Genomic DNA, 25,885 nt, shown 5'->3' with positions numbered 1-25,885 from the left:
ACTTAATTGCTAGAGTTCCATATAAAGGGCATCCTGTATGTAACAAAAGTGTTAGAGAAAATAACCTATTTTCTCTAACAAAGCAGTACAATTACAGATTTGTATACCAGAAAGTATTTTAAAAATTACACTGTCTAGTTAATATGAAGAAATATTTTAAAACATTTAAGTAATGCTGATATAGCCTATAAATTTGTATTTAGAAAATAACAATTCTAACATCATATTTGGTAGCCACTATTGTTTATATATCTTACCATCTAATTGCATCTCCCTGGAGATTTTGTTCACATCATCTTGTGATCTTCCATCAGTTATAACCACGATAACCTTTGGGATGCCCCTTCTTGTACCTGACTCTGCAGTGAACAAGGTATCTCGAACATACTTAATTGCTTTTCCTGAAACAAAGAAAGGCAACAGTTTGATTTCACTCCCTCCCATTTTTGTTTTTCTGGAGAAGAAAGGGTGGGAACAAAGTTCTTAAATTAATGAAAAAAAAAATCTTTAAAAAATTACTATGCCTTAAAATAAAAGGTCATTTCAGTAGTTACAAATAATGAATTACTTTGAGCCTTAGCTGGGCTTCTTTTGGTCATACCTGTTTTTGTATTTCCTCCTTTGTATGAAATGTGTTTAATTGCATCAAGAAGAGTCTCTTTGGTTTTGTAAGCATTTAGTTTAAATTCTGTTCTGGGATCATCAGTGAACTGAACCATTGCAACCTGGAGAGAGAAGGTGTATTCATTTTCACACATATGTAGACTTCCACTGGGTCAGAGAGCAACAGCACAGTGTCACCTGTAGTTTTAATTTCTTCATTATCTCATTACAAAATCTGCTTGGATTAAAATTTCTTTCATACAAGTTACATACCAAATTTGAAGACAAATTAAATACATCTTTTCTTTTTTAAAAATTTTATTTTAGATTCAGAGGGTACATTGTGTAGGTTTGTTACATGGGTAAACGGCATGTCACTGAGAGGTGGTGTACAAATGATTCTGTCCCCCAGGTAGTGAGCATAGTTCCCAATAGGCAGTTTTTCAACCTTCAGCCTCCTTCTATTCTCCCCCTACTAGTAGCCCCTAGTGTCTATTGTTCCCGTCTTTACGTCCGTGTGTACTCGATGTTTAGCTCCCACTTCTAAGTGAGAGCATGCAGTATTTGGTTTCATGTTTCTGTGTTAATTTGCACAAGATAATGGCTTCCAGAGGCACCCGTGTTGCTGCAAAGAACATGATTTTGTTCTTTTTTATGGCTGCGTAGTATTTCTTGCTGTATGTTCACCACATTTTCTTTACGCAGTCCACCATTGATGGGCATTCCATGTTTGTTACTGTGAATAGTGCTGCAATGAACATAGGAGTGCATGTGTCTCTCAGTACTTTCAGAAAGTAGTTTTTTAAAAATCTTTCAAGCTTGTAGGATTTTTGCCACCTCATTTGACAGTTTAAAAATGGCAGCCTAAGCTTGGTAACTTGACAAATGTCCGAAAATCAGAGTTAGACTCTTTACAAAGATTTCCTTATGAAGCAAACCTATGAAGTAATTACTACTATTCTACTCACTTTACACTTGAGGAAACTGAGCTGCAAAAGACAAGTTACTTGCACATCACAAGAGTGGTCACTGGCAGAGTCAACAGTTGAAGTTAGGTCTATTCTAGGTCAAAATGTATGTTCTTAACCACTACTATACAAAGCTTTCTGGCTTCAGTTCTTACAACTGGCTTTTATTCCTGTGGAACTTTTGGATCATTTTTAATTGTTTTTTATTTGTTTTTCAGAATTATGATTTAATAAGTAAAGATAGCATCTTTCGAGAGCTTTGTTTAAATGGGCCTTAAGCTGCTGCCAGTTTATCAGTCTACTGGACATGTCACCATTTTTATAAAGTCTCCTGCAATTCAAAGGGAACTTGCTTCTTTCTGACATGCCTCAGCATGTTACCTATTCTCCTCTTTTTTAATAACCTAATTTTATTTTATTTTTTTTTATTATTATACTTTAAGTTCTAGGGTACCTGTGCACAATGTGAAGGTTTGTTACATATGTATACATGTGCCATGTTGGTGTGCTGCACCCATTAACTCGTCATTTACATTAGGTATATCTCCTAATGCTATCCCTCCCCCTTACCCCCACCATGCAGCCATAAAAAAGGATGAGTTCATGTCCTTTGAAGGGACATGGATGAAACTGGAAACCAGCATTCTGAGCAAACTATCACAAGGACAGAAAACCAGACACTGCATGTTCTCACTCATAGGTGGGAATTGAACAATGAGAACACTTGGACACAGGGTGGGGAACCTATTTTTATTTACAATACTTTTGGAGTACAAGGGTATTTGGTTACATGGTTGAATTGTATAGTGGCAAGGTTTGAGATTTTAGTGCACCCATCACCCAAGTAGTGTACATTCTATCTAGTATGTAGTTTTTTTATCCTTCATCCACCTTCCACCCTCCCCACTCTGAGTCTCCAAGTCCATTATACCACCCTGTGTTCCTTTGTGTAGCTACAGCTTAGCTCTCGCTTAAAAGTGAGAACATACGGTATTTGATTTTCCATTCCTGAATTACTTCACTTAGAATAATGGCCTCCATTCAAGCTGCTGCAAAGTACATTACTTTGTTCTTTTTTATGGCTGAGTAGTATTCCATGGTGTGTGTTTGTGTAAAATATATATATAATATATTTTTTTACATATATATATAACATTGTCTTTACTCATTGGATGACAGGCACTGAAGTTGGTTCTATATCTTTGCATTTGTGAATTGTGCTAAAATAAACATATGTTTACTGGTGTCTTTTGACATAATGACTTCTTTTCCTTTGGGTAGATAGCCAGTACTGGGATTGCTGGAACCAAAGGTAAATCTACTTTTAGTTCTTTAAGAAATCTCCACACTGTTTTCCATAGAGGTTATACTAAATTACATGCCCACCAGCAGTGTATAAATATTTCCTTTTCACCACATCCACACCGACATCTATTGTTTTTTGACTTATAATAATGGCCATTCTTACAGGGGCAAGGAGGTATCTCATTGTGGTTTTAATCTGCATTTCCATGATGATTAGTGATGTTGAGCATTTTTCCATATGTTTGTGGGCCATTTGTGTATCTTCTTTTGAGAAATGTTTATTCATGCCATTTTCCCATTTTTTGATGAGATATTTGTTTTTTTCTTGCTGATTTGTGTGTGTTTCTTGTAGATTCTGGATATTAGTTCTTTGTCAGATGCATAGTTTGCAAATATTTTCTCCCATTCTTGTGTTTTCTGTTTACTCTGATGATTAGCTGTTCAGAAGGTTTTTAGTTTAATTAGGTACCATTTATTTATTTTTGTTTTTGTTGAATTTGCTTTTGGAGTCTTAGTCATAAATTCCTTGCCAGGTCAATGTCCAGAAGAGTTTTTCGCAGGTTATCTCCTAGAATTTTTATCATTTCAGGTCTTAGATTTAAGGCTTTGATCCATCTTGAGTTGATTTTTGTATAAGGTGAGAGGTAGGGATCCAGTTTCATTCTACATGTGGCTATCCAGTTTTCCCAGTGCCATTTATTAAATAGGGTGTCATTTCCCCAATTTATGTTTTTGAATGTTTTGTCCAAGATCAGTTGGTTGTATGTATTTGACTTTATTTCTGGGTTCTCTCTTCTGTTCCATTAGTTTATGTGCTTATTTTTATATCAGTATCATGCTGTTTTAGTAACTATGGTCTTGTAGTATACTTTGAAGTCAGGTAATGTGATGCCTCCAGATTTTTTTCTTTTTGTTTAGGAGTGCTTTGGCTATTTGGGCTCTTTTTGGGTTCCATATGAATTTCAGGATTTTTTTTCTAATTCTGTGAAAAACGATGTTGATATTTGTATAGGAATTGCATTGAATCTGTAGATTGCTTTGGGAAATATGATCATTTTCATAAGAATTATTTCAATCCATGAGCATGGGATGCTTCCATTTGTTTGTGTCATCTCTGATTTCTCTTAGCAGTGTTTTGTGATTCTTGTTGAAGAGAATTTCCATCTCTTTAGTTAAGTATAATATATGCCTAGGTATGTCTATTTTTTTTGCAGCTATTGTAAAAGTGATTATGTTCTTGATTTGATCCTCAGGCCTTATCTCTTATCTCAGAATTGATCGTTGGTGTATAGCAGTGCTACTGATTTGTATACATTGATTTGTAACCTAAGAGTTTACTGAATTTGTTTATCAAATCTAGGAGTCTTTTGGAGAAGTCTTTAAGTTCTCTAGGTATATGATCATATCATTGGCACACAGTAATAGTTTAACTTCTTCTTTTCCAGTTTGGATGCCCTTTATTATTTTCTCTTGCCTGATTGCTCTGGCTAGGACTTCCAGTACTATCTTGAATAGAAGCGGTGAAAATGAGTATCTTTGTCTTGTTCCAGTTCTCAGAAGGAATGCTATCAACTTTTTTCCATTCAGTATGATTTTGGCTGTGAGGTTGCTATATATAGCATTTATTATTTTGAGGTATGTCCTTTCTATTCCCAATTTGTTGAAAGTATTTATCATAAAGGGATGCTGGATTTTATTGAATGCTTTCTGCATCTATGAGATGAACATATGGTTTTTGTTATTAATTCTGTTTATGTGATGTATCACATTTATTGACTTGTGTATGTTAAGCCCTCTCTGTGTCCCTGGGATGACATCCACCTGATCACAGCGTATTATCTTCTTGATGTGTTGTTGGATTTGTTTAGCTAGTATTTTGTTGATTATTTTTGCGTCTATGTTCACAAGGGATGTTGGCATGTAATTTTCTTTTTCATTATGTCCTCTACTGGTTTTTGTATCAGGTAATACTGGCTTCACAAAAAGATTTAGTGAGAATTCCCCTTCTAATCTTTTAGAATATTAGGTTGGTGCAAAAGTAGTTGTGGTTTGCACCAACCTAATAGTTTCCATACAATTGGTACCAATTCTTCTTTGAATGTCTGGTAGTATTCATCTGTGAATCCATCTGGCCCTGGGCCTTTTTTTTTTTTTGGAAAACTGTTTTAAAATCACTGATGCAATCTCACTGCCTGTTGTTGGTCTGCTCAGGGCTTATTCTTGATTTAATCTAGGGGGGTTGTTGTTTCCAGGAATTTATCCATTTCCTTCAGATTTTGTAGTTTCTATGTATAGAGGTGTTCATAATAGTCTTGAATAATCTTTTGCATTTCTGTGGTGTTGGTTGTAATGTCTCTATTTTCATTTCTAATTGAGACTATTTGAACCTTCTCTCTTTTTTCTTGGTTAAACCAGCTAATGGTCTATCAATTTTGTTTATCTTTTCAAAGAACCAATTTTTTGTTTCATTGATCTTTTTTATTGCTTTTTGTTTCAATTTCATTTAGTTCTGCTCTGATTTTTGTTATTTCTTTTCTTCTGCTAGCTTTGGCTTTGGTTTGTTCTTGTTTCACTAGTTCCTTGAGGTGTGACATTAGGTTGCCAATTTGTGCTTTTTCAGACTTTTTGATGTAGGCATTGAGTGCTATATATTTTCCTCTTAGAACTGCTTTTACTGTATGTCAGAGGTTTTGACAACTTGTGTAAGTATTATCTTTCATTCCAAATAATTTTTAAATTTCCTTCTTGATTTTATTATTAACCCAAAAATCATTCAGGAGCAAATGGTTTAATTTCCAAGTATTTGTATACTTTTGAGGATTCCTTTTGGAGTTGATTTCTAGTTTTATTCCATTGTGGTCTGAGAAGATGCCTGATATGACTTTGATTTTTAAAAATTTATTGAGACTTGTTTTGTGGCCTATCATGGTCTAGCTTGGAAAATGTTCCATATGCTGATGTGAAGAATGTATATTCTGCACTTCTTGTATAGAATCTTCTGTAAATACATGTTAGGTCCATTTGTTCTAGAGTGTAGTTTGAGACCATTGCTTCTTTGTTGATTCTCTGTCTTGATTATCTGTCTAGTGCTGCTAGTGGAGTGTTAAAGTTCCCCACTATTATTGTGTTGTTGTCTTACTTCTTAGGTCTAGCAGTAATTGTTTTCTGAATCTGGGAGCTCCAGAGTTAAGTCCATATAAATGTAGGATTGTAATATCTTCTTGTTGGATCAATCCTTTTATCATTATATAATGACTTTCTTTGTCTTTTTTTTCTACTATTGTTGCTTTAAAGTCTGTTTTATCTGACATAAGAATTGCTACTCCTGCTTGCTTTGGGTTTCCATTTGCATGGAATATCTTCTTTTACCCCTTTACTTTGAGTTTATACAAATCCTTACATGTTAGGTGAGTCTCTTAAAGATAGCAGATATTTGGTTTGTGATTTTGTATCCATTCTTCTAATCTGCATCTTTTAAGTGGAGCACTTAGGCTATTTACATTCAACGTTAATATTGAGATGTGAGGTACAGTTCCAGTCACCATGTTGTTACCTAAGTACTTTGTTTTCTTCATTGTGTTATTGTTTTATAGGCCCTATGAGTTTTATGCTTTCAAGAGGTTATATTCTGATGTATATCAACCTTTTGTTTCCAAATTTAGAACTTCTTTTAACATTTCTTATAGGGCTGGTCTGGTAGTGACAAATTCTCTCACCATTTGTTTGCCTGAAAATGACTTTATTTTTCCTCCATTTATAAAACTTAGTTTTGCTGGATTCAGAATTCTTGGCTGACAGTTATTTTGTTTAAGGAGGCTAAAAATAGGACCCTAATCTCTCCTGTCTTGTAAGGTTTCTGCAAAATATCCATTATCCTCTTACGGTACTTCTTGTGCCCACATTTTCTTAGCCATTCTTTCACAATATATTCCAAATCCATTTGTTTCAGTGTACCTCATTGCTACCACCCTAGTCCAGGCCACCATGATCACTCTGCTGGACCATGAGAGCATCTTCCTGACTGGTCTATCTGCTTGCACTCTTATTCTTATTAGTAATTCACATGCCACAAAGCAGTTGGGGTAATCTTTTTTTCTGAAACATATCAGATCTTGGCTCTCCTTAAAACCTTCCAGTGACTTCCAGTTGCATTTATGATAATACTCAACTCCTTTGATGGTCCACAAGACTCAAGATGATCTGGCTTTTGCCTGCTTCTTCCACTTGTTCTATCCTCACACTCTCACCTACTATATTCTAGCCACAAGTTTTGGTGTATGAAGTTTCAAAACTCATTCTCACCTTGGGTCCTCTGTACTTATCATTTTCTCTGTCTGGAAATTCTATTCTCAGATCTTTAAGTCTGCATCATTCACATCTCAGTTCAAAAGGCACCTCCTCAAAGAGGTCTTTGCTTACCATACAATTTAAAATAACTGTCACACACAATTTAGAGTAATCCCCTGACATCTTTAAATCACATCACTCTGTTTTCATAGCTTACATCCCTACCTTGTGAATCTATTTGCTTGCCTGTTTATATCTGTCTCTGTCCCTTTTCTCTTGTTTTTTTTTTTAACTTTTCTTTTAGGTTTAGGGGAACATGTGCAGGTTTGTTAGAGAGATAAATTGCAAGTCATGGGATATGATGCACAGATTATTTTATCATCCAGATATTCAGCATGTTACCTGACAGGTAATTTTTCGATCCTCACTATCCTCCTACCCTCCACCCACAAGTAGGCCCTGGTGTTTGCTCTTCCCTTCTTTGTGTCTACATGTACTCGATGTTTAGCTCCCACTTATAAGTGGGAACATGCAGTATTTGGTTTTCTGTTTATGCATTAGTTTGCTTAGGATAATGGCCTCTAGCTTCATCCATGTTGCTGCAAAGGACATGAGCTCATTCTTTTTTATTGTTGCATAATATTCCATGATGTATATGTACCACATTTTCTTTATCCAGTCTACTATTGATGGGCATTTAGGTTAATATCATGTCTGCTATTGTGAATACTGCCACAATGAACATACATGTGCATGCATGTGTCTTTACAGTAGAATGATTTATATTCCTTTGGGTATATATCCAACAGTGGGATTTCTGGGTTTGGGAATTCTGTTTTAAGTTCTTTGAGAAACTGTCAAAGTGCTTTATCTAATGGCTGAATTAATTTACGTTTCTGCCAACGATGTGTAAGTGTTCCCTTTTCTCCACAATCTTGCCAGCATCTGTTATTTTTTGCCTTTTTAATAATAGCCATTCTGACTGGTATGTCTTCTGTCCTTACTTTTAAGAATATGAGCCCCACAAAATTAGAGACATTGATTGACATTCATTATGACAGTATAGTACATGGCCATAATAAATCCTTGATACATATTTTTTAAATGAATGAGTTAGTTTCATGTTCCACATGATCTATAGTAAGGTGTGACCTTAACCTTTTCCTTTCAAGATTTTAAAGTGCTTAAGGGCAGGGAAAATATTGTATGTATCATTAAAGGAGACATTCTACCCTAGTATGTAAAAATAACACCCTGACATGGACTTTCTACCTTGTTTTAGTTTGCCGAACTCAACACCTTTTAAGGATAAGCATCCTCTGGAGCTTTGCCAGGCATCAACAAGCTGCTTCCAAACACATACCTGTCTATCCTTTCATTTAAGGTTGAACCCAATCATTACAGTTCTTGACCTATAGTCCCTGACAAGTAGCTGTAATAAGAGCTGGAGAAATAATTTCTAAATACATAGAATGAATTAATTATTTATTAGCCTTACTTGGGTTCCATCTGTGCCAATCTTGTTCAGGGCTCCAACAGTGCTGTATAGAAAGCTGATGATCTTATTGAAATTTTCATCTCCAATGCTCCAGGATCCATCCACCATAAATACCAGGTCAGCCTTGGCCGCCTTACATACTGAAGACCAACAATGAATTTTGAGTCAGAGATAAGGGGAAAAGTTAGTAGTTATTAAACCAATAAGACAAATAATGGTTGCCCTCTGCTAAGTGAAGCTCTTTTTCAAAGGAAAGATATAAACTTCTTAATGTTCATATTCCAAACTCCTGCTCACTATGCTTCTTTGCTGTAATTACTCTTTTATACTCAAGGTTCTTATTCATGACTAAGAAGCTTCTATTATCCGTGTGGAAATAGAGAAAGAAAAAACTGTCCACCAACCACAGCCCAAAAGAATGAAAATGAAGGACTAGGAAAAGATGGGACTACAGGGATTCAGAGATCGAAGTATCAGCAAACACTGTCTAGTGCCAACTGATTGGAAAAAAGGACATACTATCACTCTGTGCACCCTGTCCTTTTCTTATTGAATTAGTAAGTTAATGTCAGAGAGATTCAATTTCAGCAGAAAAGCATGTGATAAAATGGAACCAGATTAATCTAATTATAATTTGATATTCACTTGGGCTGAGGCCCTAAGCAAACAAATTCTAATCTTGGTTAAAACAAATTTTTGTCTCTGTCCTTCTATAGCCCACTGATATATGTCAAGAAATGTACACTAATGCTAGCCAAGGGAAAGTATTATCAGTAGGTATTACAGATATCAACAAAGCAATCAAACAAGCAAAAAGAATTAAACAAAGCAAACTACACCAATAAAAACCTACTCTACTGAGAACATTTTTTAAAAGTTCTTTTTTGGTATCATGTGCTATTTCAGATTATCTATGCCTCTCCTCCTCTTCATTAGGGCTGATCATTGCAGTTGAATCTGTTTTATGATGAAGCAAACAATTTGCTCTTCAATAGTCTGAATCTTTTAATCTTAGGCCAATTGCACATAAATATTCTATGAGATAATGTGCCTTTCTCCTTTCTTTAAGAAAAACCTCACTTAGTTTTTATTTTATGAAGTACAACTTCATTCCCTTAAAGCTATTTATAATATAAAATAAACCATCTCCAAGTGAGCTAATACTTTAGGGGCAGTAAGGATCTGATAAGGTTGAGTTCTGCGATTTATAAAATTTTACAAATTTGTGGTTTGAACTTAAAGCTGAAAGGAATAACAAGATCTGCTAATTATGAGTTTATAAACAGGTTCTCTGTTTCCATGGAAAGATAAAAATGAAAATTAGGTTTCACTTTCAAAATGAGAGCAAATTCTATTAAAAAATACACTCAAAATGAATAGTTAGTAAATCAAAGAAAGAAAATATATCCACATGCATGAAGGAGTTACCTCTGGGGTAGAAAGCTGTGTTTTTAATGCTGTTCTTTTAAGTTTTTTCTACGTTTTAATGTTCGTTTAATAAATATTTAGTATTACTTTAATAATACAAATTTATTGGCTTTTAAATTAAATATACCCAGGACAAACAAAGCCTAAAATACACAGTGCATTCAAGTTGCAAAAGCACCATCTAAACCATCATGATGAAAATCTCAGAACCAATGTTTCTACTTTGTCAATCCTTAACCCCACAGACCCTTCCAGATCACATAAGTCTTCTATAAGCATTCATGAATGTTTACGGAATAATATCCATACTCAGCTATAAATAAAAATACTCTGATCTGATGCAGATATTACAGAGCATTCTGTAATATCTGCATCAGAAGTGCCTAATTAGTAAATTTATCAATTAGGATTCTGTTTCTAGTTCCAATAGTGAGAATAACCACAGATGTTGAGACTAAAGAAGGCTAGATATGAAGCTGGAAGAAGAAAGAATTTGGCATTCCAGGTAGAGTGAATAGCTTTCAAAGATACAGCATAAGACATGTATGGGGAGCCCTGAGTTGTACAATTTTGCTATTATATAATGTATTCTGGGAAATAATACTGCAAAGTAGATTGATTTGTGAAGACTCTGCATGCCATCCTAGGATGAATGTTGAGCTTTATTAGAGTTCTTAATTGCCTCTGTTTATTTGTGTCTTCTACTCTCTGCAGCATTTGAATCTACTGGCTTTAAGCTCTCAACAACTTATTTTTTATTGTTTCCCTGGTATGTAACAGGCACTTTAAGATGCATTGTGAATGGAAGAGCTCTTCCAATACAACCTTCTAATGTGTTCTACTTTCTCCTCTCATTCTTCTAGTCCATCCTCCCTATTTCACCAAAGTTATCATTCTTAAACATAGATTTCATCAGATCGCCCTTCCTTCTTACAAATTCTCACAACATGCCATTTCCCACAGGATAAAGCCCAAATTCCTAATTTTGTCACATTAACCACTCCATAACTCTACTGTCATTCTTTTCTCTTTCTTGCCACACTAAAGCATTTATGGTTCACTAAATCCATTAAGCAGTTGGATCACTCTTGACACCGAGTGCTATTCATCCCAATACCTGTCTCTCAAACTCATTCTTCAAAATGTAGATCAAATGCCTCTTCCTTATGAGTCATTAATCTGCAGCAGTATTAACCATTACCACTTCTGGGTGGTACATAATACAACTGCTATTTTATAACTCATAAACTTGACTGGTATTTATCTAGGCAAGCACCTATTTCTCTTTAATACTAAAAATAAGCAGAGAGCAGCAATCATGTATTATTATTGTATTTCCCATGCCTACTATAAGAGCCTTGAGAATAAATAGCAGGATTAATAAATGTTCATTATTGAAATAAAAAAATAATGATCACTACTTTGTTGAGGGCCTTTTTAAAGTTACCTTAATGGCTTAGGTAAAAGGTGATGAGGAACTGTTGTGATGAGGAAAGAAAAAACGACTGAAAGAGACACTTCAGAGGTAGGCTGGGAAACTATTACTGTATCTGAGGAACTACAAACTGGATTTTCACTTACAAATTATGTAACTATGCTTCCTTAATGAATGTTAACTGCTCTGATATTTCAAAAAAAATAGTATTAAGCAATTCTGTTAGTAAATCCACTCTTTGTGTGCAGAATTGATATTAAATGGATATCATTCAAGCCCATCATGGTTGATAAGCATTTGTATTAAGGAGAAAATTAGGTAGCACAATAAATATACTTTATTAATATCCTGGTTTGAAATGAACAGGCAAACAAAACCAACACAAATCCTAAACCTAGAATCAGATAATTATTCTATTATTCTTTTACCTTCTTTTGCTGGTGGAATGGTTGGAGGAAAAGTTGGTGGTCGTGTAGGAAGTGATTCTGTAAAGGAAAGGGAGAAAGGACATCAGTTCACCATCTCATCTGTGGGGAAGAGCGGAAGGTCATGGAGTAATAAATATTCAGGGTAGTCAATGATTTTGACAACTGTCTTCTCTGAGAATTTAATGAGTACTATAAATCAGCCGCAGCCTGTGAAAACTGACTCCATCCATCGTCTCATCCTCAGACTGAAGGCTTGAAATGCCATTTTGCCACCATTCAGTTTACCCAGCAGGAGTCAATGAAATCAAACTGTCAACTACAAAGTGGTTCTAATGTTGATTTAAGGCAGGAATCCTGCCAACCCATTTGAAAGTTCGTCTCCTGTTGCTTTCACACACACAATAAACTTCATTTCCATTCTGCCTAAGGATTCACCATCAATCCTTGCTCAATAGCACTTTTCCCTTTCCATCCTGCATCCCCCAGGATACTGGTCACCAGTGGACTCTGATTCATTCTGCTCTGCTCAGACTGCATCTGGAAATGTCTTTTGGTTTTGAGGACCAAATGTAAACATTGGCAGGCTAAAGTGTGTTTGGGTCTTTTCAGCCTGGATTATGTGGGATGAGAAGTCCACATACTCTGCAGAGGTATGGCTTGGTTAAAGGATCTGGGGACAGTTAGATCAGAGTAGTGATTATCAATTCTCATTCCAGCTCATGTGGCAAAGCATCAGGAAGTTTTGATGTCATTAGGTAAACATAAAATACGATGTTATTACGTATTCATTTCTAATTCTTATTTGACACTAAAGATTTAAGAAAAACTAAGAAAATTCTTCTCGCTATCCCAGTTTAATACTCAGGAAAACCCTCCACTAAACATAGCCATTCACAGAGGGGATGTCTAGCCTCAGGCGATACTAAGCACCAAATAGCTAGAAGGATTTGAGCTCAGGCAGACTGACTATTTGCCAAGAATTTTATAAAGGGGAGTTTAGTTTCTTCATTGTCAGGAAGGCTAAGAGGTGAGCTGTAAGGTCTCTTCCAACTTTAAGGTTCAATAAAATAAAATAATTTAAATAAAAGGATTCAACATTAAAAGAATGAGGTAACTATATATTACTAAATGGAAAAATATTCAAGATGATTATTTTGTGAAATAAACAAGTCACAGAATACCATGGCATAATCTCATTTGTGAAAAATAAAACTTACGCACACATACACACACACACACACATATATATACCTTTTTTATTTTATATATATGTGCTTTTTATTTTTCATAAATATGTATATATATGTGTGTGTGAAAAGGAAATATTTCTGAAAAGGAAGAACAAGGAAAGAGGGAGGTTGACAATGCACTTTATACATTTCTGTTTTACTATTATGGATATATATCACTGTTATTTTTAAAGGCAATTTTTGAAGCTAAAAACTCTCCAAATTTAAAAAATGAGAAATTTTTTTTGTAACTAGGATTGCAAAACTTTCTTTAAAACCCCACAAAATGTTTCTAAAGCCATTTTTTAAATTTTAAAATTTGTGGAAGTAGTCAGTCATCTTAATAATTGTGCATCTTCTTTAACATGGAAAATCAAGGCATCTCCTAAGTCTGGTCAATAAATCAAGAATGAAATCAGTAAGAGAGTATGGCAGCCAGATTAATACGATTGGGCAGAACATCTGGCTAAAGAATCTCTTGGGTAAGAAGAACCACAGTGAACTGGGGACACATGTTTATATTCTATATGTGGCATACAGATTGTCCCTGTCTTCAAGGATGTGAGGGGCTGTCATATAAAGAGGGAATAGTCTTTACCTGCATTGCTTCAGAAGGTTGAACCAGAACCAATGGGTGGAAGCTACAAGAAGACAGATGCCTCCAACATAAGGAAAACATTTACATCAAACAGAGCTATCCAAATTGGATTTAACCCTAGGTTAGCAGTTAACCAGTGCGGGGTCAAGGATAGGAGAAGCTAAAGTAGATCAGGGGTCCTAAACACAAATGTTTCTAGGGGTCAGGTGAGCAACGAATAAGCGCAAAGAACTTAGCGTGAACATTAAGGTGTGGTAGCCAACTTAAGCGCACATGCACTGTCTAAACAGACAGCATTTAGTTGGTTCCAGCAGATTGGCACCATGAAGATAGATACTTAGTGCTGCAAGATATTCTGACTTTTCAAAAACTACTTTAAAACTTAAAAAAGTATGGCTGGAGAAAACATGCCTGATAGTGAGATCTAGCCTTTAGTTTATGACCTTTAAGAAAATAATAATGGTAATGACAAAAAGTACTTGCTAGATGACATATGGGTTGAAAAGCTCTTCAATGAGTATTCTTTTATTGGTTGTTTACTGCCACCACTTGAGGCAAGAGAGTAGGTATTTAATTTTATTGATGAGTGAAAAGCTCAGAGATGCTGAATCGCCTAAAGCCATAATGCTAGAAAGGGGCAGAACAAGATCTTCAAACAAACCATTTGACTCTAAGTCTTGTGTACTATCAGGTTCCTATTAACTTCAAAACTATATGATTTACAATCCATAAGATGGAATTCTAATCAGCAATAAAAAGAAACAAACTACTGACACAATCTACAACATGGATAAACCACAAAAACATATGCTAAGTGAAAGATGCCAGATGTAAAAGACTACATATGATATATTTCCACTTATGTGAAATGTCCAGAAAAGGCAAATGTATAATAAAAGAAAGTAGATTGTCTGAGGCTCAGGGTGGGAAAGGAGATCGACTTCAAATAGCAGGAAATGTTCTTTGGGTTGATGGAAACGTCCTGAAATTGGATTGTAGGGATGCTGATACAACTCATTACATGTACTAAAAATTATTGAACTGCACACTTAAAATGGTACTTAAATTTTATGTTATATAAATTATACCTCAAAAATACATGTGGAATATGAAATACTGCATATTTAAGTGTTGTGAAATAAAGTCTTTGTATTACGTAAAAGAAGATGATTTAATTTATTATACTTTTATCCTCTCTTTTTGAAGGTTACATGTGCATGATTTCCCTCTGCAAGTGCCAGAGAGGCTGGAAGAGCTATACACAGATAGTAATCCCTTCTAAATGCCATGTACATGATAGACGGGTCACCAAGAAAGCCCATTGCCCAACACCTATTCAGACACAAATCCTCCCGGAATTTCAAGTTTAAATTCAACATACTGAGTTAAGCACACAAATGTCCCCCAGAATTCACTGCATTTCAAACCATTTTAATGTTTGTGGAGCCGGGGTCAAGAATCTTTGACTAGAAGCCATTTCAAGAAGTTGACACTCTCCTTGCTCTTTGGAACATGTAAAAAGAGCTTTGTTTTAATTTTATACTTTGCCTTTCCCTTTAGTGCATCACATCTGCAGTCAGCTTGGAAAAAGTGCAAGAGCTTCTTAGGCAAGCAGTAACTCTAGGGTCATCCAGTTGGAACATCTTGGCTCCCTTCCCATCCTCATGGCTGTGGTAATATGCCATTGTTTTAATGTCAGAGCCAAGTCGTCCTCAAACTGCATTTCACACTCCACATGCCACAAATGTTCCTTATGGATCTGGATCACAATGTAAGTCATTGTCTCAACTGCTTTACTATCGTGTGGCCTTCTAGTCTCTTGTGAAACATATATGGAGAATGGAAATAAAAAACCCATATTGATGACATCAGTGGGCCATATGCAATGAATTCTGGGGTTGAGTAAGAGGAACAAAACTTGTATTACGTATATTCCTGAACAGCAATAGCTAATATTTTTCTAAATGGGATAAGGAAACAGGATGCCTGAAATTCTGTTTGTTCATGGGGAGAGGGATCAGGAGAGAACACACATGACTTACGTGTTTTTTCCATTATGCTCACACTAGGTCCTTCAATCTCCTGGAGCTTTGTATAAACACTGATTTTATATTCAGAATCAGGCTGAAGTCCATAGAAGCAATGCCTGGTTGTCCCTCCACCCACAGTGGATTCTTGCTTTTGCCTATCTATAATAAAAACAAAACAAAACAAAAACACACACATATGAAATTTTTGAAACACAGCCATTGGCAGATGATTTGCTTCTAAAATACTTCACATGTTAGCCCACATCAGATAACTCCAGAATGAGTTATATTTGTTTGAAGTATTGTATCTTCTTCCAAAGAGTTAATATATTCACTGGTATTTTTCTATGGAAAATCACATTTTATATGTCCAAAAATGAAGTTTACTATTAAAAGACTTCTGAAATCAACTCTTTACTTAATGGAGAACTATTAATGCATGTAATTATATGCACACATCCTAACTGATCTTTTGGACAGATGCAGATGTGAGGGCATTTATTTAGTTTTTTAATCTTTGTGGGGTTTTTTTGTTTTTGTTTTTGTTTTTTTTCTGAGATGGAGTCCCACTCTGTCATCCAGGCTGGAGTGCAATGGTGCGATCTCAGCTCATTGCAACCTCTACTCCCGGGTTCAAGCAATGCGCCTGCCTCAGCCTCCTGAGTAGCTGGAACTACAGGCGTGCACCACCATGCCCAGCTAATTTGTGTATTTTTAATAGAGATGCAGTTTCACCATGTTGGCCAGGCTGGTCTCGAATTCCTGACCTTAGATGATCCACCCGCCTCAGCCTCTGAAAGTGCTGGGATTACAGGCACGAGATACCATGCCTGGCCTATTTTTTTTAAATCTGAACTCCCTTTTATTCGATATGATTTTCTGAACACAGCCCAATGTTATATAACATAAACAGATACTTCCTTTTGGCCTCATATAACTTATTACCACCCAACAGACCACCCTTCTAGGCAGTGGTCTAAAGATACAGGTATGGGTCTCAGAAGCCCTGGTCCATGGGTCCAGGTTGTCTTCAAAGCTGCCACAACAGCAGGCAAGAGCTTGCAGCAGCACTGGGACCACCAAGGAGTCCTCACCCTGCCCAGTATCTCCCTCTCAGCCTTGACTTTTAACTGATACCAGTGGTTTCCTTCAATTGCAAAAGACATTCCCAGGGAGTTCAGAGGGGCCTCTCCAAATGCCCTGCATCCACTCTGAAAATCCTTTAATTGAGGAAAAGGGACATGGTGCTTACATAGCATAGGGCCATATATGCTGTAGAGTTCAGTCTCAATTTCTGGTTCTTTTTTTATCTACCAAGGAGACATGTCATACACAGCCAATTCATATGGCACCTTCTCTGTCTTTTTCTCCACCATGACAGAGGCACAAAGAACTCTGGAGACCTGACTAACTATTGGCTCGTTTCTTTGTTCCCACATCCATAGAAAAATTGCTGTACATCTCCTGGAAGAACTAGTGCTGGCCCTTAGGTCCTGAGACTGAGGAATCTGGATTAATTATATTCATCATTTCTTGAGGGTTTATTATATCCAGGTTCTGTGCTTGCTATTTAATTATAACAACAGCAATAAAGATAATAATAGCCAACATTTAATGAGTGCTTATCATGTGCCAGGCAATATTCTAAGGAATTCATATGTATTATCTCATTTGATTCTTATAACATTTATAATTATTCCCAATTTAAAGAGAAGAAACTAAAGGTCAGAAAAGTTAATAACTTCTTCAAGTCCTTATTCTAATTAGCAGAACTGAGATTGTTTAAACTGGTAGATAATAGTTGTACATATTTTGGGGGTTTGTGTGATATTTTCATACCTCTATACAATGTACAATGATCAAATCAGGTAATTGGAATATCCATCACTTCAAACATTTATCTTTTCTTTGTGTTGGGAATATTACAATTCTTTTTTTCCAGCTATTTTGAAATATACAGTTGTTGTTAACTATTATTTCCCTAGTGTACTATCAAACACTAAAACTTACTCCTTCTACCTAACTGTATTATTCTACCCCTTGACCCACTTCTGCTCATCCCCCTGCATTCAGAACTCTAAAGCTCAGTTTCAGAGGACGTTGCTTTAATTTCCACTGATATATTCTAAGCAAATGTAAATGAAATATATAGTTTTCCAAAATGAAACCATCTGAGAGCTGTTGAGTGCATATAAAATGTACAAACATGATGGCTAGAGATTAGATGATGCTTTATCACTCCACAGAGCCTACTTGGGTGGCTTTCATTATTGAAGAGTTTCAAGTGTTTTCCTCGTAGGCACAGAGCATTGTTGTTGTTTTTACCACAATGGACAACTGATTAAGAGGAGGAATCACTGCTACCATGAAAAAACAATTATTCAAATTTCCCTCTAGATTGATCATCTTATCCATAAATTGCATTTGTTTAATCAAAGCCTCATAACGCTTTATTTCTAGGGGCTGAAAAACTAGTGTTTAAAAACTGCATTGATTAAATATATTACACATATCATTTAGTGGTTAAAAAGAACTATCCGCTCCTTCAAAATGTTATTTGCAGAGGAGTTTATGAAGAATAAACAGAATCTACAATATATAAAAGCATACCAGTTGCTTTTTCAACTGTAAAATGCAAAAATTTTACACAATTTTTGTCTATTTTATAAGCATCAAACCTAGTTAAATTGCCATCCATATTTTGATATGCATATATTGAAGCAAAGATATGTATATTATAATATGCATATATCAGAATAAACATGATATATGTTATTTTAAATTTTGTCTATGGACAAATATAGACTTTTAAAAATATAAATGAATTAAAGCTATTTGTTAAATAGAATTTTAAATTCATTTTTATATATTGTGAATATTAGTTTCAGAAGGGAACTTTATAACAGAATTTTTATTAATGTATTTGTTCAAAGTAAATAGTGTCAACTTTAATCATTTCTTGTTCCTATATTATGAAAAATGATAACATTTAAAAATTGTTAAAGTGTTTGTGAGATTATATATTATGTGAAATGGGTTTGATAGTAAGTAAAATTTAGTCAACTCAGTGTTTCGCTTTGCTTAGGTCCAAGTTTAGTCTATGGTTTCCAGGCTCTGAATCCCACAATAACTGTTTCTTTTTGACCCTTAGCTATCCCTTAGAGCCTCCTAAAAGCTTCTGTGAGCCACCTGTAATACAAACATTTCCTGAATTTTATGCGTGGATCATACTGATCTACCTCCACAAACCTTCCGGGGACTCTCCAGGAGTCAATTCTAGAAATGCACTTTTCTGTCACATTTCCTATTTCATGTAGAAACCCATGGACTTTAAAGACCCTTGAAAACAGAATATAAGTAGATCTTACTGCTAAAATAATAAATCTATAAACATTGGAAAACTGGAACAAGCACTATAAGATTAATGGCAAACAGTATCAATTTGGTTCCCAATACTAACAAAGAGGGGTTCCATGAATGGGGGTGTATCCATGTTGCTTTTGGCATGTGCAATTCAGGCCTATTGGCTTTGCCTTAAGGAAAACATTCAAACTGACCAAATGGTGACTAATTTCCTCAACCTCTCATGCCAAAAGGAGGAAGTTAATTTATTTTTTTGAAACACAGGGAAAAAATCTGTCTTTATTTGTGCACTCATTCTTAGGAAGCAACACTAAATCCATTCTCCAGATTATAAACGTATAATTATAATTATAACGCCACCAGCTTGACTTATCAAAATGTCCTACAAGTAGTTATTGAGTTCCACAAGCAAAGAATATCCAGCATCCAGGTAACTACTCTGGTAGAATTTTATGATATAAATAATTATACTCCCCATAATGTCACTGCTTCAGAAAGTTTAATTCTGATCATAGGTTTTGTTCCATATGATGCTTTCTGTGGACCTGGTCTTTGGTAAGGTAGGCTCTCCACTATGCTGCAGTTCTCTATCCTTGTCAATAAATAATACTGCAAAGCTGACATCTCAGCACCTAAATAGGGACAAGTGGAGCATCCTCTAAACCTTTATCTAAGCAGGTTACAAAGAAGTTCATCAAGTTGTGGGGATTAGGGTGGGAATAAAGTGTTTGGGCCTATGTGGCATATATTAATAAATGCATGAATTTGAAGTCAACCTTAGGTGCCAAGGCAACTCAAAAACAGCTGGAGAGAGGGATAAAATCCCATAGCATCTGCAGAACTAATGGAGGACCTCACAGGGCTCTGAATTACCCAAGGCCAACCAAAAATCTCTCACTTTGGGCTGTCCTAGAATTAACCAAAAACCTATCATTTAATTTGGCAAATGGATGACTGAGTCAAAAGCAGATTTTATTTCAGTCTTTCCTGAGAAGACTTTGTCCTTCTGGTAATCTTTTTTTTTTCTTGGCCATAAAAATGTCATAATATTTACATGGGTAAAGGACATCTGTTGCTTTTGCCTGTCTTGTATCTGAAATCTCTTTCTTTGCATCCATTCCTCCTCAGTCTTGGTCTTTATGGTTTGGGGAGGATTGAATAACACCCCCACCTCCAGCCACCACCACCAGATACAGGGGTGGAAGGCAACCAGGTCCAAACAGTCAGTTTATTTCATGCCCTTGCACTCAATGACAGATTTAGAGGCATGTGACCCAAACCAGGCCAATATGACTCAGTTCCTGGACTTCTGTTGGAACTATTGAGAAAGAGAAGCTCTCTTTTCACCAAGACTGTTAAAGCTGGAAGCTGGGAGAATGTAATTCTGGATCTGACTCACTGAGCCTGGTTGAAAATGAAGGCATAGAAGAGCAGAACACAAGAAGGAGCAAGACTTTATCTCTAGGAAATTGAACACCTAGGTCCAGATGTGCCTGAAGCCAGAGACTTTTGGACTTCTCAGTATACTAGCCAATAAATTGACCCTTCGGCTTAAGTTTATCTAGATTTCTGTGAATATTAATAAACAAGCCTGAATGATACAACGTGGCTATTCTACTCACAAAAACCTTGCAAAATTGCAGTTATTGCCTCAGTTAATAGACTTAGATGAAATAATTTCACAGAAGCTGAAGCCCAGAGAAGAAAGTTGACCAGCGGTTGTGGTTACAGTAGAGACTTCATTACTGACTTAATCTCAGAATAAAAGTGCACATGCTTAAGCTATGAAAAAATATATGGGAAAAAAACTGGAAAAAATTACCCATCAAACTGTAAGGATTTGACGGAGGCATTCAGAAAGAGGTCAACTGGGATAAAGCTTCATTCCAACACATGGGGAAATTGGGTCTCATTTATTCCTAGTATCTCCTTTGCCTGGAGTGGAAAGACTGAAATTTCTGCAGAGACCGCATATGTAGCCAATATTACAGTCAAAACACCTGAGGGTCTGAGACTCATCTGCCTGTGGAAGAATGGGCATCTTACCACAAGTCCTTTAAAGTCAGTGAATCAGAATGGTGAACACATTCCCCTATAAGATAATGAAACTCAACCTAATTCTTCTCCATTCCAAAGTAGGAAGACTATTCCTTGATCTAATTTGTATGAGTTAAACTATCCAAACACATTTCCTACTGCCACCCCCACACTCACTCCTCCATCAAACATTCCTTTTCCAGTTGTCAATTAGAATCTTTTGCTGTCCAGTTGATAAATAATATTCAGTAAGACAACTGTGTGAATGAAATGTGGCTAATTTTGTTCACAAATCTAATCTCTCAGCAACAAATGTTGATGAGAAGTACATTGAACAACACTTTTGTTCGTTCTTGTTCAATTAAGACTATAAAGGTTCAGCTGAAAAAGTTTCTGGCAGCCTGAAAATAATACTGAGGGAGTATAAGTTCACTTAACTTGAAGATAAAAAGCAACTGTGGACTCATTTACTTGCCAGCAAAGATCTTGGCTTCAGAAAGAGCTTATTGTGGTTTTAGATGACCAGTTCAGTATTATCAGACAAATCAATCATATCCTCTGATAAAACTCTCAAGGCTGCTTTGCAAATATGCTAAACTAAAAGCATTTAATTTAAAAAACTATGAATCTTATTGATTCCATTGATAAAGCCAGTTTTTATACATCGTTGTGTCAACATATATAGTGATAAATTTTTATGAAAGGCAACGAATATCCACAGGAACCCACGTTCCTTCATTTCAATTTCCTAAATCATATAAAAGGATAAATCATATAAAAGAACTGTGGGATAGTTTGGGAGGGTGATTATTACACTTAGAATTTTTTCTTAGGCTTAGCAAATACCATTAAATGCCAACCCTTCCATATTAAAGCGTGACTTAAAGAAATATAGGAAACATAACTCAAGATTTCATAGTTGTTTCTCAAATTGTTGCCTGTGCTTTATCTACTTTTGGCATCCCATAAATCATATTTAACATAACCATAAAATCCATGTGACTTATCCTCACTTTCTATCCCTCAATGTTTGTTCCAGGTTAATACCACTCCCAAATGTCAAGCCAATGTCAGGCTGGAAGGATCCTTACATCATAGAGAGGGACTCAAGGAAGCAGTGGTGCCACATGTCTATCATGATGATATCTTGGCTGGGATTGGCAGGAATTTCTTCTCGTATGTTCCACGTATCTCAGTTCTTATTCTACAAGGGACATATTTCCAAATGCTCTCAGTGCTCTCCTAAACTATGCTTTCCACTTTATGGATTGGATCAAAAATGGGATTTATGGATTTTGAATATAGCTATAGTCAGGAATATGGGCTACTAAACCCAGTCTTATCTGGACTAGAAATAATTAGGTCATTTTGCTTTTCTGAAATGGGGAAACCAAGATCATTTGCCCAGAAAGAACAGGCTACATTTTTAACAATTTTACTCCCAAGTTTGGAAGATTTTAAAAAATCATTTGGGATTCTTTAGCATCTCCTATAATCCCATAAAATAATAAGATATAGCTTTTCTATTGTTTCTATAAATCTGATTAAGTAATTTTTATTATTTGATTTCATCTTCTGCATAGTGTCCATGCTGATGTTGGGAAAAGAGGATTAACCGGCTCTAGATACTGATTTTTGGGGAATCAGCCATTTGTTGTTGTTCTCGATATTTTTAATGAAGACAGTGAGACATTTTTACTGTTTCAGCCTTGGAACAAGTCCCAAATTGTGGATGTACATGAGAACTGTAATGCTGAAGAACTTGTTCATGATGCTGTAGATACATTAAATCTCTGGAATGAGGGTTGTTGTTCACCAATTATCCCCAAAAGAAAAAAAAAAACACTAAGAAAAACATTAAATTTAAACTTGATCCCTAGAGAGTGAATACCCAAATTAGAGTACAATATAATTTTAATGTATGCTAGTCTTGGCTATCTGGCTGCTAACATTTTTGGGGTCCTTCCAGTGCACAAAGCACTACTGCAAGTGCTTTATGTGGAATATCTCAGCTTTATCTTCACAGAACTCTAAAAAATCAGCACTATGGCTATACTCATTACCAGATAAGAAAAAGGGAGGTTTCCAGAGGGTTAGTAATTCACTTACCCAACCAGTCAGACCCCATATGCAGCATGACTGACCAATACAAATTGCTTCCTTGACAAGAGGGCTGTTGTCTAATGCTACTTGTGTGTTGTACACAGTGGTGTGCAAAGAATCAAATACACAAATGCTTGACAAAAACGTAAGTGATGGATTGTACTCACCCTGGAGGGATTCTATAACAACCCTATAGGCTGTGGCATGGCGATGTACCTGCCAGTGGGCACACAAGCTGGTCATTTCAACATGTTTGGCTTGGAGATTGGTAACACCCAAGAACACTGGAATGAAATAGAAACATAACTGTATCACACCGCAGACAACACACAAGCATCCCTGAATCTGAAATTAACTTCTGGAAAAATTTTCATTCAAAGCTGCATAGTCAGAGCTGGGAAATCCATCAATTTACAATGAGTTAGTATACAAAAGATAAATGTTTTATGACTTGAGAGAACAGATTGCAAAACATTATGCATGATGTGGTCTGTCTGCTATTTTTCTTATTTGTTTGTTGTTTGTTTGTTTTGAGATGGGGTCTTGCTCTGTAGCCCAGGCTGGAGTGCAGTGGCATGATCTCATCTCACTGTAACCTCAACCTCCTGGGCTCCAGCAATCCTCCCACCTCAGCCTTCCAAGTAGTTGGGATCACAGGCATGTGCCACCACATGCAGCTAATTTTTTTTTTTTTTTTTTTTTGTAGAGGCAGTGTTTCGCCATGTTGCTCAGGCTGGTCTCAAACTCCTGAGCTCAAGCCACCTGCCTGCCTCAGCCTCCCAAAGTGCTGGGATTACAGGTGTGAGCCACTATACCTGGCCCTGTATGCATTTTAAATAGAAGAGGAAGTGCATATTGATAGAAAAAAGACCAGATGCAAAGGATGATGAAATGTTGGGTAATTTTAAATCTTACCCCCTTTATATACTTGTGTTTTCTAAATATTACACAATAAATATGTAATACTTGTATAATAAAAAAGTAAATACAGTATGTATTTATCAACCAATGGGATAGCCATGGCTTAAAAAGAGAAGAGTAAAATAGTCAAAATGGAAGGGTTCTGCAAACAGGAGCAGTTTCACAAGGACTGGTCTTCAAAACACGATTGAATAAACACTTTTGAAAATTTAAAAATAAAAGATTTTACAGAGATAACACAAATTATTTTTAAAATACATAGGTTCCTATTAATCTTAGACATTGTGATATGCAAAAATTGTTGTTTGGGGAGGCAATAAGATATTGTTTCTACAAGACAATAGAAAAGTAGGTAGCCAGTGTTTATCATTTGGATCCAAGCAGAAAATCAACATATTTACTTTTCCTAATGACCTCTGACTTCCATTCATATCATTTTCTATTATTTCTCTCTCTCTCTTAGCTTACTCACAAAATAAAAATACCTCGGAATTATCTTTTCAAGATGGTAAAAATAATCTTGTCTAACTATAATTTATACATTTACACTGTTCCTTTCTGTTACAGCAAAGAAAGAAGACTTTTTTCCTAAAGCCAATTAAACAATCTCTCTTCCCCTAACAAAAACAAATGAAATTAATGTTAATTGATTTATATAACTTTTTTGTTTTGTTTTTTGAGATGGAGTCTCGCTCTTGTCACCCTGGCTGGAGTGCAGTGGCACAATCTCAGCTCACTTCAACCTCCACCTCCTGGGTACAGGCGATTCTCCTGCCTCAGCCTCCTGAGTAGCTGGGATTACAGGTGCATGCCGCCACACCCGACTAACTTTTATATTTTTAGTAGAGACAGGGTTTCACCATGCTGGCCAGGCTGGTCTCAAACTCCTGACCTCAGGTGATCCACCTGCCTCAGCCTCCCAAAGTGCTGGGATTACAGGCGTGAGCCACTGCACCCGGCCCTGATTTATATAACTTTTATCAATGTTAATGATTTATGTAACCACACAAAATATTTTTAAAATACCTTATATTAATTTATTTGCCATTGTGGGAGATTTTCTTTTGCTTGGGAGAAATAGAGAGAATAAATAATAAACTCACTAATTTATATTTTAAGGACAAGACTATAAAACAATTCAACAATCTCAGTCTTTTAAAATATGTTTGGAATGCTCAATATATTTATTAAGGGAGAGAAGAAAGAGGAAACAGAATTGAAGAGGGAGCAGAGAAAAGAGGATGGAAAAAGACAAGAAAGACTAGGGAGAAGAGAGACCAGTAAAAAATCACAGGGCTGGGCGTAGTGGCTCACGCCTGTAATCCCAGCACTTTGAGAGGCCAAGTCAGGTGGATCACCTGAGGTCAGGAGTTCAAGACCAGCTTGACCAACATGGTGAAACCCTGTCTTTACTAAAAATAGAAAATTAGCCATGCATGGTGGCACACGCTTGTAATCCCAGCTATAGGAGATGCTGTGGTATAACTAAGGAAGGCTGTGAAGTTGCCATAGGAGCAAAACAGAGGAAATACTTGGAGGTTTCATTAGTGAAGCCACAACAGTGTCACATCAACAGCCAAGCACAAGATCAGAACCCCAACCAAAGGCTTCCTAGGCCTGTTGAAGATGGAGACTATTTCTTTTAAGATAAA

The 25,885-nt window shown here is 36.0% G+C and overlaps 1 protein-coding gene across 13 annotated transcripts in view, besides 1 other annotated feature; it reads right to left on the bottom strand.

The window, feature by feature from the left end:
• Positions 1 to 25,885, bottom strand: part of COL14A1 (collagen type XIV alpha 1 chain) — a 249,120-nt gene that overhangs the window by 94,738 nt on the left and 128,497 nt on the right. For 11 of the 13 annotated variants that reach the window (NM_001413490.1, NM_001413491.1, NM_001413493.1 and 8 more), the window contains 6 exons: positions 23,480 to 23,596; positions 15,822 to 15,968; positions 11,953 to 12,009; positions 8,662 to 8,801; positions 602 to 725; positions 258 to 401 (listed from right to left, as the gene is read on the bottom strand). In NM_001413490.1, the coding sequence (NP_001400419.1) occupies positions 258 to 401; positions 602 to 725; positions 8,662 to 8,801; positions 11,953 to 12,009; positions 15,822 to 15,968; positions 23,480 to 23,596 (729 nt within the window). Of the gene's footprint in view, positions 1 to 257; positions 402 to 601; positions 726 to 903; positions 1,352 to 8,661; positions 8,802 to 11,952; positions 12,010 to 15,821; positions 15,969 to 23,479; positions 23,597 to 25,885 lie in introns of those variants that run through there. The other 2 variants (NM_001413496.1, NM_001413497.1) reach the window with 1 other exon arrangement.
• Positions 12,019 to 12,603: an enhancer, noted in NCBI's record as "OCT4-NANOG hESC enhancer chr8:121278472-121279056 (GRCh37/hg19 assembly coordinates)". NCBI's record gives its function as "activates a minimal SCP1, AML or CMV promoter by ChIP-STARR-seq in primed H9 embryonic stem cells {active_cell/tissue: H9 hESC(primed)}" and the evidence as "EXISTENCE:reporter gene assay evidence [ECO:0000049][PMID:30033119]".

This window comes from Homo sapiens, chromosome 8 (genome assembly GCF_000001405.40).
Source record: "Homo sapiens chromosome 8, GRCh38.p14 Primary Assembly".
Lineage (NCBI taxonomy): Eukaryota > Metazoa > Chordata > Mammalia > Primates > Hominidae > Homo > Homo sapiens.
The sequence above is the reverse complement of the archived record's forward strand: the minus strand, read 5'-3'. Positions and strand labels throughout refer to the sequence as shown.